Below are 21,598 nucleotides of genomic sequence, written 5' to 3'. Positions count from 1 at the left end.
AAAGGAAATGGACAAATAATCATCAACCCTGCAGTCCTTATCTGTCTCTCTATTCCCTGAAGCAAGCATGTTACCAGACACTTACATTTTATAAAATCAAATGAGGTGTTAAAGTGTGTATCAATAGTCATGCTGACTTTTGTATATTATATCCTGTTTCTATTATAATGTAGAATTGTTCTCTTTATCTTCCAGATGTGTGATGAAAAGCAAATTAGTCTCTCTAATAAGTTTCTAGAAGGAAAGAAGGACCTAAGTTGATGTGTTAAAATCATAATCTTTCTAAGGAACAAAATGAGAAGAACATACTTGGAATATCATTATAATGTAATTGTAATGATTTATTTGGGGGAGGGGAGAAGAGCTCCATGTCACGAGATAGTCTCACTTAAAACTGGGCCCTCTTAGCATTTTATTAACTAGTATACTTCATGATGATTTTACTAGACTGAATTGACTGACCAATTCAAGGGGAGATATAAAATATTTACAAGGGAGTTATGTAGTTGAGAAAAACATGTACTATTTATGCACCTAAGCAGTATTAGAGGGATTTGGATAAAAAAGAAAAAATATATATATATATATATAAATGTATTATTTTCTGTCCTATTCAGTCAAGAGTAAAGAAATTCCAACTAACAGATTCTCTTATATATACCTACAAAATCATATTGACATAAAAAAGTTAAATTTAATCAATGTTATATTGCAGTGCTGGAGGGGTAAGTTACTGGTAACCTACTACAGTTTGTAATAAAGTATTGATATGTCTTATTATTTATAGAATTATTATTCCAATATTTAGTTTATTATTCTCTGTGGGAGTGTAGTGAAGAAATTAACCCCTCCTCAAAGAGCATACAGCAAGCGAAGACAAAAATATATCCATTAAAAGTCGTTTTAAGGCATATACCATACTACCGTGGTATCTGGGACATTTAAGCACTTAATAAGTGTTTTCTATTATTAAAAACAGGATGCTATTTAAGTTCAGCACAACAGATTAGTATAGAAATGCAATTCTTAAATTACTGTACTATTTTAGTGTAGATATCACTGATAGAATCTTCACATAAATATTAAGGTAATTTACCGAATGAAGATATTAGAAATAATGCCTGTTTCAAAATGCTGAGTAACAACTAACCACAAACTCTCATCAGTGGCACAGAGCAGGCACGTATTAATTATACTTGTGGGATGGTTGACTAGTAGCCTCTGATGATCTTGGCTGACTTACATATCCACTGATGGACTGGCTATAGGTTGGCTTCTGCTGGTACGACTCGGGTAACTTGGCTCTGTTCCACATGTATCTCATATTCTAGAAGAGGTATGAGCAAGCAGGAGAACAGAGGACTTTTTGAGATATAGGCTGACAACTAGCACACCCACACTTTTGCCTTATTCTGCTGACCAAAACAAGTCACACAGCAAGGCCAAAATCAAAGCATGGGGAAGCAGACCCCATTTGGTGTGAGCAGTTGCAAAGTCACATGGCAAACAGTGTGACAACAAGAAGAAATGAATAATTGGAATTATTTCAACTGCCACAGAGAACTGGGTTTTTAGGTTTCATTTTCATTAGCTTTTAAGCTTGAAACATATTGAAACTACCTGCTTTATTGTTCAGAAAATAAAAATTTCCAACCATATACTATGGATCAACCACTGTACTTGGCATGCAAAATATTACCTCATTTTTCAGAACAACATAAGAGGTAGGTAATTTATCTTCTTTTAGGGATAAAGGAGGCATTGAAAATCCCCCTTAGAATTTTGTCTTTGCTATGTACAGCTCCTCTAAAGTCACCTTACTTTTTACACTGTATATTATGAAGCAGTGTTTTCCATATTACATTTTTTTAGGGTTGTACACAAATCACTCTACCTTTTTGTGTCTATGATTTATACTGTTGCTAAAAAATTTTATGAAAAATAAAGCTTGATCCTACAGAAGTAGATTATTCTCTTCTTATTTTCTTCTATAAATTAAGAAAATATATTTTTCCAAGTATAGACAGTTACCTATTTTTAAGTTTTATTTAAATAACATGTGAATGTGATGTGCAATATCAGAGATGAATCGAAGTGGATTCATTGATTGTAGTTACATATTTTTCAACAGTCTAATAACATTACCAAAAAATGTTAAGTGAAAGACATTAAAGGGTCTCCAAATTTTCAGTCACCGTCATTTTGGGAATTAGGTCTGATGATAAGACATTTAGTGGGCTTTATCTATCTATTGGTAAAAGAATTATCTTTGCCTTTTTTTCCATGTCACTTGGGTAGTACTGTCCTTTAAAATCAAACAATTTCCTTGGCATTAATGCAGAGAGGATCCAAGTGTTAATTTTATTAAAATTATCTGATAAACTTCAGTAAGAGTGTTGAGAGCAGTGGTGATGACTTGTTTTGTTTTTAATTGATGATGTGCTTAGTGTGGTTCTGATGGCACTGGGTAAATATTACTGTGATTCTGCAGGAGAGCTGAGTGAGCCATCCACCCTCTGTCACTTTATATCCCTCGAGTCCAAGCATGTCATTTCAGCAACACAGCCAGAAAGCCTAAAGAGCTGACAGTTGGCTTGTGATTATTCCTGGACCTGAGGCTCCCTCACGTTACAGTACTAATCAAGTCATCTCACCGACTTATCATTAACTCAATTTGACCCATGGGAGCAGAGATGAAATCTTTTTGGCAAGACTAATGATGCTGTAACATTGAAAAGAAGTGAAATGTAAAACCTTGATTATCCTCAACCCTTTCCATGAGGAAAAGAATAAAAATTACAAAGCACCTAAAGGTAAGAGTAAAAGACAATGTCTTTCAAAGACCTTAAGTTTTCCTTCCCCAAGGTGCAGCACTGTTTTCTTTGCTTTTATTTTTATTTTTTTATTTCACCTTTGTCCAGAAATTTCATCTCAATTCTTTTTTATTTACACTAACAAATATTTTCTCTGGCAGTCAGAAAATTCACTTTTCTTGTATTTGTTTTGATAAATGGAATGAAAGTTCTGTTTTGCAGTCAGCTTCTAAGATTTCTGATGAAAAGGCAGCCAGGAGCACGAAGCTCCTGTCATGCTTCAGCGTTCTTAGTTTGTGTACATCTTTGACAAGAACTTTCTTTTTTTTATTTTTCCTTGGCACGAGCTTTGGGACATCTTCTATTTTTCTCTGACTGACAGCTGCATAATAAGTTTTATCATTAAAAACTGATTCTAGGGAAATATGATCCCTGCCTTCCATTCTCTTATAGATGCTAAAGCTTTTGTTTTCACAACTCTTTCAGAATAACTAGAAATTATCGCTACAAAAAGACAGGGATATTGACCTGTCATGTCCTGAGTTGTTTAGCAAGTGCCAAAAACAAAATTAAATTCCCTTTTATCTGTTATCTAGAACCACGTGTTAAATCATCTTGCTCTTGAGAGGTGACTCAAAGTCAACAGGTTCTTTTTGTTCATGTTGTCTTTACTTTTATTAACCTTTAGAGAATTATTAAGTACTTCTTCATTTTAGCCTATCAAGTTGGGTTAAACATTTAACACATAAGTTATTACAGGCATAAATACCATACTTGATCTATTTAGAATTTAAGTGGGGGCAGTGATATGTTACTTCTTTATTTACCTGCTAATTATGTAATACTGAAGATTTAATATATAAATTTTCTGACATTTCTTTATATTTCATCCTGATTTCATGTAGCCTTTCTCACTGTAACAATTAAGAATTAGGTGCACAATAAAAGGCAAAAAAGAAGTAGGAAAAGTTAGTAAAACTTGCTGATCAACATTTGACAGGGAAGATAAAGAAAACCAGGTAATGTTAACAGTTCCTATTGAATATATGTATTTTTAATTTAACAGTTAACTGTTTTCCTTGGACTTACTGGAAATGAAATAATGGAAGAGAGCTTTATGCCTTTGTTTGTAGATAAGAGCGTATAATAAAATAAGTCAAGATTCATCAGCTAAAGAGTAGAATGGAAGAGCACTGGATTTTACTTCTGGTTCCAGTCCTTTTACCAGCTTCTTAATGTTCTATCTGCACTCCCCCTAGCCCCTGACTTTGTTCTTCAAGTATATGAAAACACACAGGACCTTCAGCCTTCTTAATTCCTCTGCTTAGTCCTATGTCATAGCTTTTTCCCAGTCTGAACTCCCTGATTGATGGGGTGTCCAAGGGAAATAAACAGTCATGTCATGGGTTCTTAGTTTCTGTTTCTGGTTGGGCCAATGAACCCCTTCCTCATCCCTCTTTTCCACTTATCACTAGAAACAGAAACTAAAAACCATGGCTTCAGGCTGCTAAAAGCCTAAAGCAAAACAACAGAACAACAACAAAATGGGGTAGGTTGGACAAGCTTGAGTACACTAAACACAAATTTCAAAAAAGAAAAGTAGAATGACCTGAGAAAGTGACATCATGGTGTTTCTAAAGTTATAAGTTGACAATTTATAAATGTATAAATGTATGGGATACAAAGTGTGTTATAATTTATGAATACAACAGGGAATAGTGAAGTGAAGCTACTTATCCATCACCTCAAACACTTAATATTTTGTGTTTTGAGATCTGGTTTCTGGTACTGACCTCTGCTTTTGACTTAGTGGGTCTTTTTAGAAAAGTCAGCTTTCTTTCATTCAATTCTTTTTTTTTTTATCTGAAAAATGGGGCAGACACTAGATTTTATGCAATTCTCTTTGGCCTCTCTTGTGAATGAATTTGTAACATATGTGCTTAACACCACCTTCCCTTCAAACTCACCTGCCCCCTGTCATGCTCACTAACACATGCTCATCTCTGTTTCTGTTCCGTTTCCCTCTTTCTCCCTCTCTCTCAGAGCATCCTCTTCTCTCCATTTCTCTTTTGCCCTCTCCTTTTTCTTCTTCTCTCTTTTCTCTTACCCTATCCTTATCTATTACCTTCTCTCTTTTTCTTTCTCTTATCTCTGAAAGGATGGGAGTACCCCAACTCCTGACTTAGGTAGACTGATGCCTCCACTTAGACCTCTTTCTCTTCTTAATGCTCTCCAAGTTATCTAAAACACAGAAATCAGTTCAAGTATTGCTCGTATGCCTTGCTTCCCAGCTAGGGACATTGTCAAATTGATCTTTGCCTCCTTAGTTTCTAGTATACTTTTTGGCCAACAGAAAGCAATAAATAAGCAGTAAGAAATTATTGGATCATTTTACCCCCCAATCTGTGTCTCTTCTTGAACTTTCTCTGTTCATTTAAGAGCACCTTAATTTTCTTTGTCATTTGGTATTAACACATTAGCTATATTGTATCCATTCACATAACTCAAATCCAAGTAACCACCAAGTTTTTCAGTTTTCCTTCCACATCAGTAGCCCCTATCCTGCGTGTTCCTGCTGTCCCCCTCCTTACTTAGCCCTAATCTCTCTGCTAACACATCACATTCTTTTGATTTCTCTACATTCAATGTCTCCACAATTGACACAGCCTCCAAATTAATCTTATTAATGTTATTTTACTATGTTAACTTCCTGCTCAGAAACCCTCAATGACTTCTCATGGCCTATCAGGTAAGTTCAGCCTCTTACCATGACATCTAAAGTTTGCCTCATCTTTTCCCAACCAACCTTTCCTGTATTATCTCCTATATGATACTTGTACAGCAACCAAGTGGGATTGCAAATTTTCTCCAACTGTGTTCTACGTTTTTATTCAACTCGTTTCTTCCATTTTTTGTATTATTTATCTAAATGAGGTCTAAAGATCTTGCTTCTATCCATTGAGACCTAACACAAATGTCTACTCCATTTGAAAGGTGGAAGTTATTTCTCCCTCTTGAATTCCTATAGCATTTTTTTCTACTTATATACCACTTGTAAATATATTGTTTATTTTTTTTCTTAGCTTAACATCTTTGATAAACAAATGGAAGCTCCTTGAGGTCTAAGATTATGCTTTATTCACTTTAGTACCTTCTGGAATACTTAGGATAGTACACTGTATATAGTAATAAAATTTCTTTATGTTTCATTATAGATGGATGACTTGATCTAAACATTGAAATATAACCACTCATTGCATGAAGATCACTCGATTACTGTGTTTCTTTTTTCCTTTTTTGTTTTTTGTTTTGTTTTGTTTTTTTGTTTTTTCGTTTTTTTTTTTTTTTTTTTTTTTTTTTGAGAGAGAGTCTCTTGCTCTGTCACCCAGGCTGGAGTGCAGTGGTGCGATCTCGGCTCACTGCAAACTCTGCCTCCAGGGTTCAAGTGATTCTTCTGCCCCAGCCTCCCCAGTAACCAGGACTACAGGCATCCACCACTACACCTGGCTAATTTTTTGTATTTTTAGTAGAGATGGGGTTTCACCATGTTGCTCATGCTGGTCTCGAGCTCCTGAGCTCAGGCCATCTGCCCACCATGGCCTCCCAAACTGCTAGGATTATGGGGGTGAGCCACCATGCCCAGCATCACTTTGTTTCCTTCCAAGTTTCTGATAAAATTTTTGACTACAGCCTTTTCCAATTCTTTCTTTTTACTAGAAATGCAAAAAACAACAAAAAAAGAAATGTTATATAAAATTACAATATATGGAATACCCAATAAAGATTTGAAAAAAGAAAATCGGAAATTGAGGAGGAGCAAGAACATATATCATATTCCAAAACGATTGACAGATAATGAATTCATGAATGTGTTCTCCATTGTTTCACCACCATTATGGTTTTTTATTTGTTATAAATACGATTTACTATCATACCTCTGAGTCACTGACCCTGTAGGTTATATCTTGAAGTTATTTAATACTTATAGTAGCTCTTATGGCCAGCTCATAAATATCAGTGGTTTCCAAACAATATCTTTTTGCTTTCGGTTATTCTATGGCAATTCAAGTAATTATTTTGATTTTAAATGTTAAATTTTTATTTATGTATTTATACCTCAGAAATACAATGCAGTTGTTGGTTAGGTATGAGAAATAATGGATTAAGGTCAATAATTTAGGCAACTTTATTGTTGGAATCTTTGAGAAAAATTTCTTTGAATGGATTTTATAGTAGTAGAACCATCTCAAATCACTGCTGTTTATAAATATTCTAATATAAAAATGCATGTGCATATAGTTATCAGCCCATGTCTAAGTGAATAGTATTCAGAGAAGTTTGTATGCTATAGCACCTTTCACATGTATGTGTATATACACACATATAGATGTACATGTATGTACTGCATATGTGTATATGTATATGTGTGTATCTATACACACAACCCTGAGAAGTTCCCACCTCAGTAAAAACTGAAAAAATTTAAGGTGCATGCCAATTAAGAAAAAAATACAGTTATACAGTAACTCCCTCTGAGTTATTAATTCCACGCAGCTCAAAACAATCAAGTTTTGATTTTTAGTCTGTGTGTGTGTGTTTACTTTGGTTGTTCATATGTTTCTGAGTACTATCCTAAAGTGAGTGCAAAATTATGTCTAAGTCACTATTTTATCAACATCAGGGCCCTTTAAAGCATACATTCAAACTGTGGAAAAAAATGTCAATTTCAAATAACATATTGACTTTGTCAATTCTTAGAAAGCTATTTCTTTCCACAACTCTTTGTTTTTCCATATCAGTTAATAAAGTATTGGTCACTGAAATTATGATTGTGCTTTATATACATTGTGTAGGACTAATAAAGCTACTCTATCCCAATTTTAAATGAGTTTTTAATACAATGAGTGCCAAAGTAAGCAGCATTTAAAGACACCAAAACAAAATTATCACTTAAAGTAAATCCTATCCATTTTCTGCATAACAGATAATAAATAAATCATTTGCCCACTCTTAGATATGTAAGAATTGAGGATGCAGAGCTACTCTGTCTTCTTTACAGTGTGTAAGATGTCTAGGTATGCTTTCAAAATAGTGTTAAAATGCAGAGTAAGTGCGGACTAAATAGACAAAATGAAAAGAACTGGCGTGAGAGAGTGATGACTTAGAAATAGAGAAATTTATACAAGGGGAAAATGTCAGATTTAAAATGAGGGGTGTGTTAAAACAAGTGTATAAGTGCTAGACCTAAAAAAAATAAAAAATTAAAGAATTAGCGGGTTAAATATTTGTGGTGTTTCTCTCATTGCTGTATAGGCATTGTTTGCTCATATACTCTAGGTATTTTCATGGGAAATCTTACTTTCTCATTCTGTATAATTTTAGAACAAGATATGGCTGAATCTTGCCATGGCTACCAAACAGTATCCAGTTGCTACCTAGGAGGCAGCAAAATCACAGTTTATCTGGGAATTTTTAGGATGATCCTAGTTCTCATTGCCTGGTTAGCTGGTGGGCAGTCATAGCAAAGACTGTGTTTTCGGTCTAACTGGACTAAATTGAAAGTATCATCACTTTACTCTTGTGTCTGGTGGGGAAAATCTTAGCATAGAGCTAAACATATAAAACGATTTTTAAAATAATTAGAAAGCCTCGTCTTTCTTCCAACCTGTGGACTTCAGGTAACGTCTGAAATGAAAGTGGTGAAGTTGGGAGTCTGGATGCTGTGAATAGTCATAAGACTGGCAAATAACATTTAAAACCTAAGCATTAGATTCTACCGAAGATAAATTTGCACATATGTAGATTTTTGTAATCTAAGATTTTAAATTAAATGGCCACCAGAGTTCATTTCAGATTGCACATTAAATATATTGAACTAGAATCCCAGTTTGGGCTTGCCATCTGTTTAGCATGCTGATTGTTTTTACAGAACTGTGATTTTAATCTCAAAAACAAAAATTTATGAAAGCCCCCAAGTCAGACTTTTTGTATTATTTTCCCTACTGATTTCCATTTAGCAAGAATTTGACTATCTTTAATGAGTTAAGAGAGGCATCGGAAATCCCTTGACTTTTTTCTTTTTATCAAATCAATGAATTAAAGTTTTTGTTGTGTGTTAGTTTTTTTACTCTGTAGATGTTGCCATGGCCATGAGTTTCATAGAGTAGTTACGTTGATTAAGTTAGATGATTCAAGTTAGTCTTGAATGAGGAAAGAATACACTTGGGAAGCAGTGAAGGATGGATTCTAGTCTTTGGAGTCTTTAGTTCTGCCAGTATTTTCCAGTTGAATGGAAAATTCACCTCCCAGTTTGGTTTGGGTGACAATGAAAGGATTGTTAGACCTGAATGTTTTCTAGAAAAAGACAGAGATCAATAAGGAAAGAAGACAATGTGAATATCTACATATGTTCTTGTAATTTTTCTCCATTGTTTTTTGCTTTGATGAACAACATCATTATAGAAATAATTAATGTTAATTAATATCTGTGTCATTTCTTGTAAATGGTAGTATATTATTGTTACAATTAGAATAATTCGTATACAGCATAGCTTAGTGACATGATAAATGACAGAGTAGAATATGTTGAGTCTTATCCATTTTGATATATTAGCTGATTCACTTGCTCAATAAAGACAAAAGAAAGGCAGAGAATTGGGCAGTAACAACAGCAACAACTATAAATGCATGGCGGCTACATTTTCAGGTTTTTATTTTTCTGCCAAGTTCCTGAGTACCGTGGGTTGTTGACATTTTATATTTCTTTTCTTTTCCTGTTGTTAAATCTTAGTCCCTGATTGAAACCTTCAAGAATAGGATCATGAATAAATAAAGCAAAGGAAAATAAAACATGACTTCCACATTTTCTAGATTTGCATATGCTATATTATACTTGGTGTTTTATTTTTCCAGGATTATTCATGATATAATAGACAGCTGTCTACAACTCTGATTTATTTTTCAGAACCTATGAGAACCCCAAAGACATTAAAGATTGCTGAAATACAGGCAAGACGGATTGCTGTGGACTGGGAATCCTTGGGTTACAACATTACGCGTTGCCACACTTTTAATGTCACTATCTGCTACCATTACTTCCGTGGTCACAACGAGAGCAAGGCAGACTGTTTGGACATGGACCCCAAAGCCCCTCAGCATGTTGTGAACCATCTGCCACCTTATACAAATGTCAGCCTCAAGATGATCCTAACCAATCCAGAGGGAAGGAAGGAGAGTGAAGAGACAATTATTCAAACTGATGAAGATGGTATGCTCATACTTTGCTGTTTAAAAGGGGGGAATTCTCTAACAAGAAAAATGTGATTACTTTAAGATTTTCCTAAGATTGTCCAATACTGAATTGGATTCTGAAATCATCTAAATGTTATTAATGAGATTAACTTTGGAAAAAAATTGCCTTTTACAAAACCTAATATTCTTCAGACAAGCATCCAAATACTAAATGAAATGTGCTTCTGTTGTCCTCTCTTCTTACACAGAAGTGGCAACTACACTAAAAACTTAAATGAAGGGGTTTTTTAAATCAAATGTTCAAAAATAATTTTTACTCTCCATGGCACTATATCAATTGCCTATTGGTAAAATGCACTTGATAAAAAACTTAGGGTTTTTGTATTTTATAAACCAATAGTAGCTGTTTTTATTTTTCTCACATTTGAAAACAACACTGTTGGGCCGGGTGTAGTGGTTCATGCCTGTAATCCCAGCACTTTGGGAGGCCGAGGCAGGTGGATCACCTGAGGTCAAGAGTTCAAGACCAGCCTGGCCAACGTGATGAAACCCTGTCTCTATTAAAAATTCCAAAAATTAACTGGGTGTGGTGGCGGGTGCCTGCCAATCTCAGCTATTCGGGAGGTCAAGGCAGGAGAATCACTTGAACCCAGGGACAGAGGTTACAGAGAGCTGAGATCGCACCATTGCACTCCAGCCTGGGCAACAAGAGCAAAACTCCGTCTCAAGGAAAAAAGGAAACAACACTGTTTATACTGCTTACCCTTTCTATTCATTTTAGATGGTTTTATGTGAGTCTAAATATAAAAGCAAGCAACAGTTCATATCTGTAAGTCTAATATAATGGCCTTTATTAGACATTAGCAAGCTGTTCTTTATGTATCTTGTTGCCATCCAAGTAACTAAACTGTACTTTGTCTAATTTCTGTGTGTTACTTCTTGATAAATAATATGAACAAATATTTATATTAGTATTTTAATGTTCACATACCTGTTATAGCACTACAGTATATTATAATTTGATTGATAATATATTTCCTAATTTAGCAAAAACATATAAAAATATCTGCAAATGATAATCTAATAACAATAAGTCACTCTTTGGATGTAAGATATTTCCTTTCAAAATTTCCTTTTATGAATTAAGGCATGTAGAAAAAAAGTGTGCCATATGGTGAACTGAGGCAAAGCTAAATTAGGAGTCAGTTCTTATCTTTCAATGAAGGGCTTAAATTAAGTGATCTCTGAGGTTCCACCCCCTTCTAAACTTCTTCTTAAGTAGCTTGACAGTAGGGCTACATTTTTTTTCTTTTCTTTTCTTTTTTTTTTTTGAAACAGTCTTACTCTGTCATACAGGCTGGAGTGCAGTGGCTCGACTCGGCTCACTGCAGCCTCCACCTCCCAGGTTCAAGCGATTCTCCTGCCTCAGCCTCCCAAGTAGCTGGGATTACAGGCACCTGCCACCATGCCCTGCTAACTTTTGTATTTTTAATAGAGATGGGGTTTCCCCATCTTAGCCAGGCTGCTCTTGAACTCCTGACATCGAGTGATCCACCCGCCTCCGCCTCCCAAAGTGCTAGGGTTACAGGCGTGAGCCACTGTGCCCAGCGGGGCTACATTTTTATTTGAGTTTCATAAAACAGAATGTTTTTTATAACCACGTATTCCCAAGTTCCCTTAAGTTCTGAATTTTAGATCAGGTGTGTCTTTTGGTGCCTACCTTCTATTAGCTTGCCATAAAAGAGGTTATTATGCCATAGTTTTTACAAATACTTATAATTTCAAACTCTCCCACTCTGAAAGTGGAAATGACCATCATTTCATGTGCCTTGCTGTTTTTGTTGTAATAAGAGAAGTGAGAGCCCTTTAACCACATTTAGCTCAAAATTTGAAGGAAGCAATATAGTTCGGAAACTATACATGGAGTTACTCATGTTCCTAAAATTTCTGAGAATAAACCTAAGACTTATTTAAGACTTATTTATGATGAATGTGCTTTTGTCATGTTTGAGGTAACCAAACATGATTACTTTAGCTATCATGTTTGAACTGGCACCTAATTGAAGTAGCAACAACATTTAAACAACACCCCCTTTCCTAATTAATAAACACACAAATATCCTTATATCTTACCCCTGCCACACACACACACAACTCAATGCATATTTATGCAAGAAAGAATGATTAGGGGTAATTGTTTCATAGGCACATAATAAAAATGAGAAGTCTAACTACAGATTCAATAGCTCCAAAAAATTTCTATCTTTTCTTTTAAAATGGGATAAATGTTATAAGGTCTGTGTCACACTAGGCACTTTGTAGCCCATGTGTTCAGTTATTAAAGTATATTCACATGTTTTATTGCCTACCCTTAAAAAAAAAATCATGTCCTAATTGGTAATGGTAGACTCAGTTACATAGTTTTGTGCTGCTTTAGCCAGTCACTCTCTAGTAATAGAATTCATTTTGATGGTATTTTTGGATATGGTTTGTTAGTTTGCCCTTCTTTCCCACAAACAAAAGAATGCAGCCAGGCTTATATAATCTTTTTCATATTGCATTAAATTTTTAAATGCATTTTTCAGTATAAATATGACTAGACTAATAATCAAGGAATGAGTTGCTTTGGAATTTTAAATTATGCCCTACATTGATCAAACTCATGACTGTACTATTTATCTTATCTAAAATAGTTTTGTAAAAATACAATGACATTAACTATTTTTTGAAATATTTTAAATTCTAATTTTAATATCATTTTCAATCCTAGTTTTATTTTAATCTCTGTTTTGAATAATTTTTCCAGTTTTAATTATATTAAGTTTCGTATTATTATTTCATAGTATTGTCACAAACTAATCCCTTCTACTATGAGCGTAATTTTTTCTTTTTGTTTAATATATAATATTTAATGATTGATACGTAAACTCTTCCATGAAGTATTTGCAAGTAACTCTGTCTTCAAATCAGCATGTGAGCTTCACTTTGTACATAGAATACTTGATGTGTCTTAATGTTCCTGAGCAGGGAAAGAATATCTAAATCATAATCTGTTGTTGGAAAGATCGATGGATTATGATGATCTGATTAAGTCAGTGTTACTAAATTATTGCTGCCCTGTATACATAGAAAAAGAATAAATTATCAGCCACCTAATAAAAGGACATAATTTTATAAAAAGAATTCTGGGACATCCATAAATCATGAGAGCAAAGCTAGAACCATTTCCCGCCAGAACCCTAAGGTAGAATTTCTATTTAATTTATTGCATACACTTTTTAATGGACGAACAGAATTTTCTGTATGAGGTTTTGTTTTCATTTTTTATTCCAGCATTCAAAAAATCAATATTATAAAGTTAGCTCAGCAGAAAAGCCTGGTTTGGGGACATATTTTTGAGACTACAAAGCTATTTTTGAAAGTACATTTATTACATTTTAAAGGCTATAATGCTTATCTAATATAATCTTGCCCCACCCATATTTTATTTCCACTCTCTTTTCCATTTTGAGAGTTATATTATAAAGGACTTTCAAAAAAAGTAGCTGAAATAGCTGTCATATAAGTCTCAGGCAAGGGAACAAAAGTCAGCATTCTGTTTCCATTAAAAGTTGTTGATGTGGAAATGTGAAGTGACATTCCCTGCAATCAGTAGACTGCCATGATAATGGTTTTAGTAACTTCATATAGTATTTACACAAATCATAGGTACAGAGAGACATTTTCTGTCTATAATTGTACACATGATCTTCCTTCAAATGTAGAAAGTTATTGAATCTACTTTGTTTGTGCTCACACCTCACCTCACCTGTTTGTGTGTGTCTTTTAGTTCATCTAAGTATAGTTCCTTCTCTCATCTATGATCATCCAAGTACACGACAAGTAGTATGACACTCTCTTGTCCACAACTTTGCCACAAACTTTTGTCTTACAAATGCAATCTATAGGTACTTGTAGTGAATTCTATTGTCAAAACAGAAAAACTGTAAGAGCATAGAAATACAAAACTTCTAGGGAAGGTACTTCCCAATTCTACTCCTTTTTCAATGTAGAATTATACAAATATTTTAAACCATCCCTATTATTGAACGATGTTCGATAAAATAAATCTATGCCATTTTATGGTATTTGTAGGCTAAATTGTGTTAGGTAAACATAGGCAGTTATTATAATTACAATGCCATCAAATCAACATTTATTCATTAATTGGATATTTTGCTCCCTTTTTCCCCCATTAGCCACCTTCTATGAGAGATACGTAAGGATGAAGAAATATCTTTTCCTTCAATATAATCATAAGTGTATGTCATTTGCATATAATGGAAACAACAGGTACTCTTGCAAGACAAACCAATGCCCATGGCAGCCTTAGCAATAGACACAGATGTGCAGAGGGGCTCTCACTGGCCCTCTGTCTGGATCAGCTGCACAGCCTTGCTGGTACTGTGGAGCAGGGAGAGAGCGGATGCATTCAGTTAACTTCTCTCATAGTCTTCGGCTGACAATGGCTTGAACATATCTTCTAAAGTTTAGTGCTGGCATATTTTCTGTTTATTGTGGGTTTCTTTCCTCAATGTATCAAATTATGTTGCCTGTCTCAGAGGTCATAGTATCATTCATAGTCTCCTTGTAGATTGAAATAAATCCTGCTCTCGTGAGATATCATTCAGAATTTCTTGATGCTCCTAGCCACAATGCAATGTATTTCCCTTGATCCAGTGATTTTTAATTTATTTCAATCCTCACAAAATTGCTATATACTTTGAAACTACATTTCTGGATAATGTCATGTGTGAAGTTCACTGAAACGTTAGATTAAGGGAAAATATTAATTAAAAACTATGCTTGCCCAATATTCAGTTGATATTTTCAAAAAGAAACACATTTTTTAGCCAAGTAGGATAGATACTATATATTTTAAAATATTATCAGAACTAGAAATTGGATATTCATGTGAATAAATAGCAGCTAAGTATTTAAATAAAATATATAAAAGGAAAATACACGATAGCGAAAGAATTTTTTATCTGGTATTTTGTCAATAGAAGCTGGTGCATCATTCAGTGTTGTCATTGTGTATGACCAGTTATATGACATTTGCAAATAAGGACTGAAGCAAAGGCTCTTCAAATATGGTCATAGCTGAGGACACTTCCAAAGTAGTTGTGCAGATCGTTGAGTTCTAAACAAGTCTGACATTATAAACTAGTTTGATTCTTACCTTTGAATAAGTGAATTTCCTTTAAAAGGCTGAAGCAGTGACATTTGAACCTATCCATCTGTAATAACTCTTTAAATATGGTAATAATCAACACTGCCTTTTTAAAATTACAGAACATTTAATACATATAGCTATAAAAGTAAGGTTGGCTATTAATGGACATTTCAATTCATTTTGCTATGTGATTCGGCTTTCCAGACCAAAGAGTGTTAATTATTATCGTAATTTATTATTTATCAACTTTGTTTATGGAGACTCTTTGGGGGATTTGCATAATCTTCAAAAAAATCTTTGGGGAAATACAGCTCTGTTCTTGAAACAAATTACAAATAAGATCCTCACGTTATTAGAGGTATACAACAGAGGAAACTAGACTACATAATTTATGCATCTCTCTAAGGTGATAGAATATTCTTTTGAATAAAAATAACTTTGCATTTCTACATTTTCTGCATCAGAACCTTATAGACTTGCTTTAAATTCTCATATATCGAAGTAAAATCAGAGAACTAGTCATATAGTTTATTTTGTTTTTAAGGACACATTTTTATTTATTTTTCTTTATATTTATTTTTAATCCTGTTTATCTAGCTTATCTGATTTACTTTTTCTGTTTCTAATGTAAGCATTTTCATAACAAAAAATTCATGTGTTTTGTAGTGCCTGGTCCCGTACCAGTAAAATCTCTTCAAGGAACATCCTTTGAAAATAAGATCTTCTTGAACTGGAAAGAACCTTTGGATCCAAATGGAATCATCACTCAATATGAGGTATTGGGAGAACAAGGAAGTTAATTGAAATGTGGATTGAAGGACTAAAAGGAAGAAGAAAGGAAAAGTTAGAGGGAAATATGGAAAAGACGTAAATGAGGATTAGGGGATTAAAATCATTCTCCTTTGTTTTAATTTACAGATTCTTTGATTCCAAAATTAAGCGTCAAAATAAATATTTTGTATGGCATCTAGAATTTTCAAATTCTTAAAAAATGCATGTTTTTTGTTGCTGTTTTGTTGATTTAGGGAAGCAGGATAGTCATTATCAGATTTACGATGGTTATAGTAATAATCACATATTAAAAAACCCTCATTTTCCTTTTTATAAATTTAAGAAACTCCTATCATACTGTGATTTAGGAGAAGCCATTGAATTTCAGTTGTTTCAGAGTAAGGAATAATACCCAAAAAGCAAAATAGATTATAAAGCTGACTTTTCTAGAGCTTCATTTCAACTTTGAATATAAAACATTATCTTTTCAAATATGAGAAACTAAAAAAGAAGAAATGAAAGAATCATTTAAGTTACACAAATGTGTAGTTCTGTTCCTACATAGCGTTGATTAGATCATAAATGCTTAAATTTCTAATGGCTACAGAGTGAATTATGGAAATGAGAATCACTAGTACAATGTTATATTTTGAAACTGTGTTCACATATTTGAATACTATTTACATGAAATTTGTTATATAACTTGAACAAAGTACAGAATATGTTAATAATAATAAAAATTTGTTGAAACACTTTCTGTGTTTCATATGCATTAAAGTATATGGCTATAAGATTTTTTATGTACGCATAATTTATTGTGGTTTTTTTGATGGAAGAAAATAGATGTATATTGATTTGGTCAGCTATAACTCCGGTGTATCTGTAGATAGATGATTGATTGACATATAGACAGAACTTCAGAATGACAGAAATAACAATATCAACATGAGAAAGAAAAGAAGAAAAAAATTACCATTGACTCCACATGGATGCCCTTGCATACTACCTTATTTATACAGAGTTTATTTACAGTTTCTTATGATGGATACTAGATATGTAATAAATGTATTTCTTAAAACAGATCAGCTATAGCAGTATAAGATCATTTGATCCTGCAGTTCCAGTGGCTGGACCTCCCCAGACTGTATCAAATTTATGGAACAGTACACACCATGTCTTTATGCATCTCCACCCTGGAACCACGTACCAGTTTTTCATAAGAGCCAGCACGGTCAAAGGCTTTGGTCCAGCCACAGCCATCAATGTCACCACCAATATCTCAGGTATGCAAATGAATAAATTACAAATAGGATTGATTATGCCATTGGTTTGTAATGGCACATCCTGGAGAATCACATATAAACCAAGTGTAGTTCATCTTGCTTGTTGAACCTTTAATATAGTTATGCATAAATGAAAGCACTTTAAATAATTATTTGAATATGAATTATATGTCCAAACCAAAACACATCTGAAATAGTCACTTTTGATTGACAGTGGTCTTAAAAAAATTATACTAAATCTTTATTAAAAATCTTTCAAAATTCATTATAAATCCTAATAGATCTTATGATACTTTTGAAGAGTTGATAATTATTATGGTGTCAGACCTTTACTCTAAATGAATGTTATCAAAAAAATGGTAGAAGATCCTTTCTCTAGTATTATAGTACTACATACCTTGTTTCTGTTTCATTTTCCCTGACATTATGATAATTTTAAACAAAGATGGGCTTTTCTTTCACACTTAAAAATCTTATATAAATACATATAAGTTTTAAAATGGGAACGTACAGAAGAATTTTAGGTTGATAAAGAAATTAAACTTTACATTCTATTGTAGTCACAGTTGCACAGTTTGTATTTGACTAGATTGTTTACAGAGCTTATTTCTCCTTCAGTCAGATCATCAGTTAAACCTGATTAAATTCTTGCAAGGAGTTAGCTTTGTAGTATGCCCTAAATCTACTAAAGTTTATATAATGTTTTTTCTTATTTAAGATTACTAAAATAAATACATATTGTATATGTAAATGAAGAGTTAAATTTGAAAAATAAATTATTTAAAGGTCAACCACACAATGTAGTAAAGCACAAATTTTGACTTTGTTAATTCTTTTTGTTCATTTGTGTTCATTTTTATTATAGTTCCACATGGCAAATATTAATGATACATCATTAATACCCATAAAATATGTCTTTCATTTTTTTAATCTATACCATTTGCATTAAAAGGAAGACATGTACTTTCCAAATTATTTTGAGTCTAAAATGTTACTTGCAAACGTGTTGAGTATAATACAAACTTTAAAAATTTGTATCATGAATAAAATTAGCTATTCCATTATGAGCTATAATTCCTTGGAAGAGCATTTGATTTATCTTAATATTCCAATAAAAAATTAAAGTATCATCCATTATATTATAAAATAACAATGTTTTAAAATTGCAGTTTTCTTTCCTGAGAACAATTACAAATCATGAATTTAAAATATGTATTGAATCACTTTACCAGAAAATAAGACTTGGTGATGTTACGATGCACTGAGATAGGTTTTCTACCCTCTGGAATTAGCAGCAGTGCTATAATTGAGTAAGATCTTTCAATAGAGACAGCTACAAAATTTATATAAACTAACAAAACTGAGAACATTGAACAAATGTAAATTTTTGAGAGCCATAAATGTTTGTGTGTGTGTGTGTGTATGTCTCTCAAGGCTCAGATACTGTGTTTGTGTTGAACATAAAGTTTATAAAAAAGACCAGAACATCCATCTGATTTTTTCTTTTAATTATTCAACTTCACTTTTACTTGTATTAACCTAAGTGCAATGAGTACTTGATTGTACTTTAAAAACTTGGTTGCAATCACTTTATGTTAAGAACAATTATTAATCACATCTAAGATTAATAAATTTATGGTTAGTGTGGTTCTCATCATTACTTGAACTTTTCAGATAATTTATTGTCAAATTTATTCCCTGAGTCCGGTAATTACATTTCTCAGCATTTAAAAAAATAATTTAAATAACAGTGAAATCAAGTTATTGCAGGCATAACTGTTGGGGGAATTATTTATACATACACATACATTCACATACACACATATACACACATACATACTACATATTGTGCATGTATTAAATTAATATTTGTTGTTTCTGCTTCCTAAAAAACTCTCAGATAATAATTAATCTTCTAATGTCACTGCTCCTTTTCTTCCATCTAGACAGTATTTTAAACAGATTATTGAAATATCTTTCTAAGTGGTATCCCTACCTTCAGACTTACCCATCTTCACTGCATTTCTATATCTATCTTTAATCCACAGATATTTCCTTCTTAAATATTTTCGCAATCTTGTATCTTATAATCAGCGGGATGAAGTCTAAAGATCCACTTGGTGTTGGCATTCAGGGTCCTTCTTTGCATGACTCCTCCCATCCTCTACTTCTCCCCATGAGCCCAAAGTTCCCGGCACAGCCAACGGCTTATAGCTGTTAAAACGTACCATGCCCTTTCATATTTTGTTATCTTCAGATATTCTGCTTCCTTTCTCAGAATTTTAGTTCATCCTTTCTCTTCCTGATGAGTTTTTACCCTTTTTTTAATATTTGGCTTAAACATCATTAGACACCCTGAGCCTTCTGGTTTCATCCCCCCACTGCCAATACTAATGAAAAAAGTGTGACCCCCCACCCCCAGACCATCATCACCAACATCACCTGAGAACTGTCTAGAAATAAACATTGTCAGGTCCCTCCCCAGAAATACTGAATCAGAAACTCTAGGGTAGAGGGGCTATAATCTGTGTGTTAGAAAGCCCTCCAGGTGATTCTGATCTTACAAGTTTGAGAACCACTGTTTTGGCAAATGGTCTTCCACTTTTGGCCACTAACATTTTGCTATAATTTTTTGTTTGTAAGACTCTTACTTTTCATAAAATGTGAATTCCTACTTTTAATTCTAAATATCAGAGACCATGCTTTGTCTTTATATTCATAGCATTTCTCATAAAACTTGGCACATAGTATATATTCAGTAAATGTTCAACGAATGGATAGAGATAATGCACACATTTCATTGAGTATATACTCCTTAAACAGCTTTCTACATGAAAGTCATCCAAAGCTATTTGAGGTAACTCTTTTTCCCCCTCAAGATCCTAGTCCCTAATTAAGCATTATCAAATATTTAAAAAAATTATAAATTTATTCTTTTTAAGAATCTGGCAACTAATGTCCCTGATGAACAAAAGCTAAGATGTCCATTATCATTTACCACACTTCTTGGTATGTTTCTCTTGTGACCAGAGTTGTGAAAAACACATTAGCATAAGAGTACTGTGTCTTTCTACACTATAAGATCATAAACGACACTGTTTCACCAGGTAGCCCTTGACCTCAGCTCTTGCTGTTCATAGCTCCTGATCGCCATATGTGACTCCATAAGCACTACTGCCCAGTCTTCTCAGTTACTACCTTCCCTCCCTCCCATCATTACTCACTTGAAGGTCTCAGGAAACTAAAAGGAAAGCATCTTCACAAAATATTTGGAATGTGTGTCATAAATTGCCAGACGATTATTTAAATTTCCACAGCAAATCTTGGTTTTCTAGCTTTTGATATTTTAAGTTCCCAGAGTTGAAATTCATTTGGAGATGTTATGCTATAAAACAAAATACGTTGTAGATAATTAGGTGAATTTTTTTTTCCTAACTTAAGATTGTCTGTTCATTCTGACCTGTGATATATTACTGTAAATTAATTGAACCTTTTTTATCTCATTAATCACTCATCAGCTCCAACTTTACCTGACTATGAAGGAGTTGATGCCTCTCTCAATGAAACTGCCACCACAATAACTGTATTGTTGAGACCAGCACAAGCCAAAGGTGCTCCTATCAGGTAAGAGGAGAAAACTACAGTAGTTCTGCCTTATCCACAGGTATGTACATCCCAAGATGCCCAAGTATGCCTAAAACCAGAGATGATAACAAACCCTATACAGACTGTACTATGTTTTTTTCTATATATGCAAACCTATGATAAAGTTTAATTTATAAATTAGGCACAGTAAGAGATTCACAACAATCAATAACTAATAATAAAATAGAACAACTATGTATTTTAATAAAAGGTGATTATGTTCTCTCTCAAAATACCTTATTATACTGTACTTACCTATTTTTGGACGAGTTTGATGGTGGGTAATTGAAACACGGGTAACTGAAACTGAGATATGAGAAACTAGGTAGGCAGGGTTGGGGGGTAGTTTTTCTTTTACTGTAAGAGTTAAAGAAAAAGGAGCCAGAAGGTTGCTTAGCAGCTAATAAAGTGGTTCATTTCAAAGATACATTCATTGGAGAATTTCTGTCAGGAGAGTTTTATTTTTGTTTAGTTTAGTTTGGTTTCCTTTGGTTTGTTAGTTTTTCATTTGGACAAAGCCTGCAGATAGACTTGTAGTTAAGAGCAAAATTCTAAGGGCATTTTTGAGATATTCATGCACTGAACCATTCACCTCTCTGTGCAGTTTGACTTAAGAGCAT

At 33.4% G+C, this 21,598-nt stretch overlaps 1 protein-coding gene and 1 long non-coding RNA gene across 7 annotated transcripts in view; one reads left to right on the top strand and one right to left on the bottom strand.

Annotated features, from left to right (window-relative positions):
• The window catches only part of PTPRK (protein tyrosine phosphatase receptor type K), a 551,815-nt gene that overhangs the window by 420,830 nt on the left and 109,387 nt on the right, over window positions 1-21,598 (top strand). For all 6 annotated transcript variants that reach the window (NM_001291984.2, NM_002844.4, NM_001135648.3 and 3 more), the window contains 4 exons: window positions 9,778-10,080; window positions 15,946-16,055; window positions 17,132-17,333; window positions 20,852-20,957. In NM_001291984.2, the coding sequence (NP_001278913.1) occupies window positions 9,778-10,080; window positions 15,946-16,055; window positions 17,132-17,333; window positions 20,852-20,957 (721 nt within the window). The remainder of the gene's footprint in view (window positions 1-9,777; window positions 10,081-15,945; window positions 16,056-17,131; window positions 17,334-20,851; window positions 20,958-21,598) is intronic.
• The window catches only part of PTPRK-AS1 (PTPRK antisense RNA 1), a 58,429-nt gene continuing 50,307 nt past the window's right edge, over window positions 13,477-21,598 (bottom strand). Inside the window, exons 4-5 of the long non-coding RNA NR_125849.1 lie at window positions 15,961-16,099; window positions 13,477-14,866 (exon numbers count right to left, since the gene is read on the bottom strand). This is a non-coding gene — a long non-coding RNA (PTPRK antisense RNA 1). The remainder of the gene's footprint in view (window positions 14,867-15,960; window positions 16,100-21,598) is intronic.

This window comes from Homo sapiens, chromosome 6 (genome assembly GCF_000001405.40).
Source record: "Homo sapiens chromosome 6, GRCh38.p14 Primary Assembly".
NCBI classification, from domain to species: Eukaryota; Metazoa; Chordata; class Mammalia; order Primates; family Hominidae; genus Homo; species Homo sapiens.
Note: the sequence above shows the minus strand (reverse complement) of the source record. Positions and strands in the feature narration are given on the sequence as shown.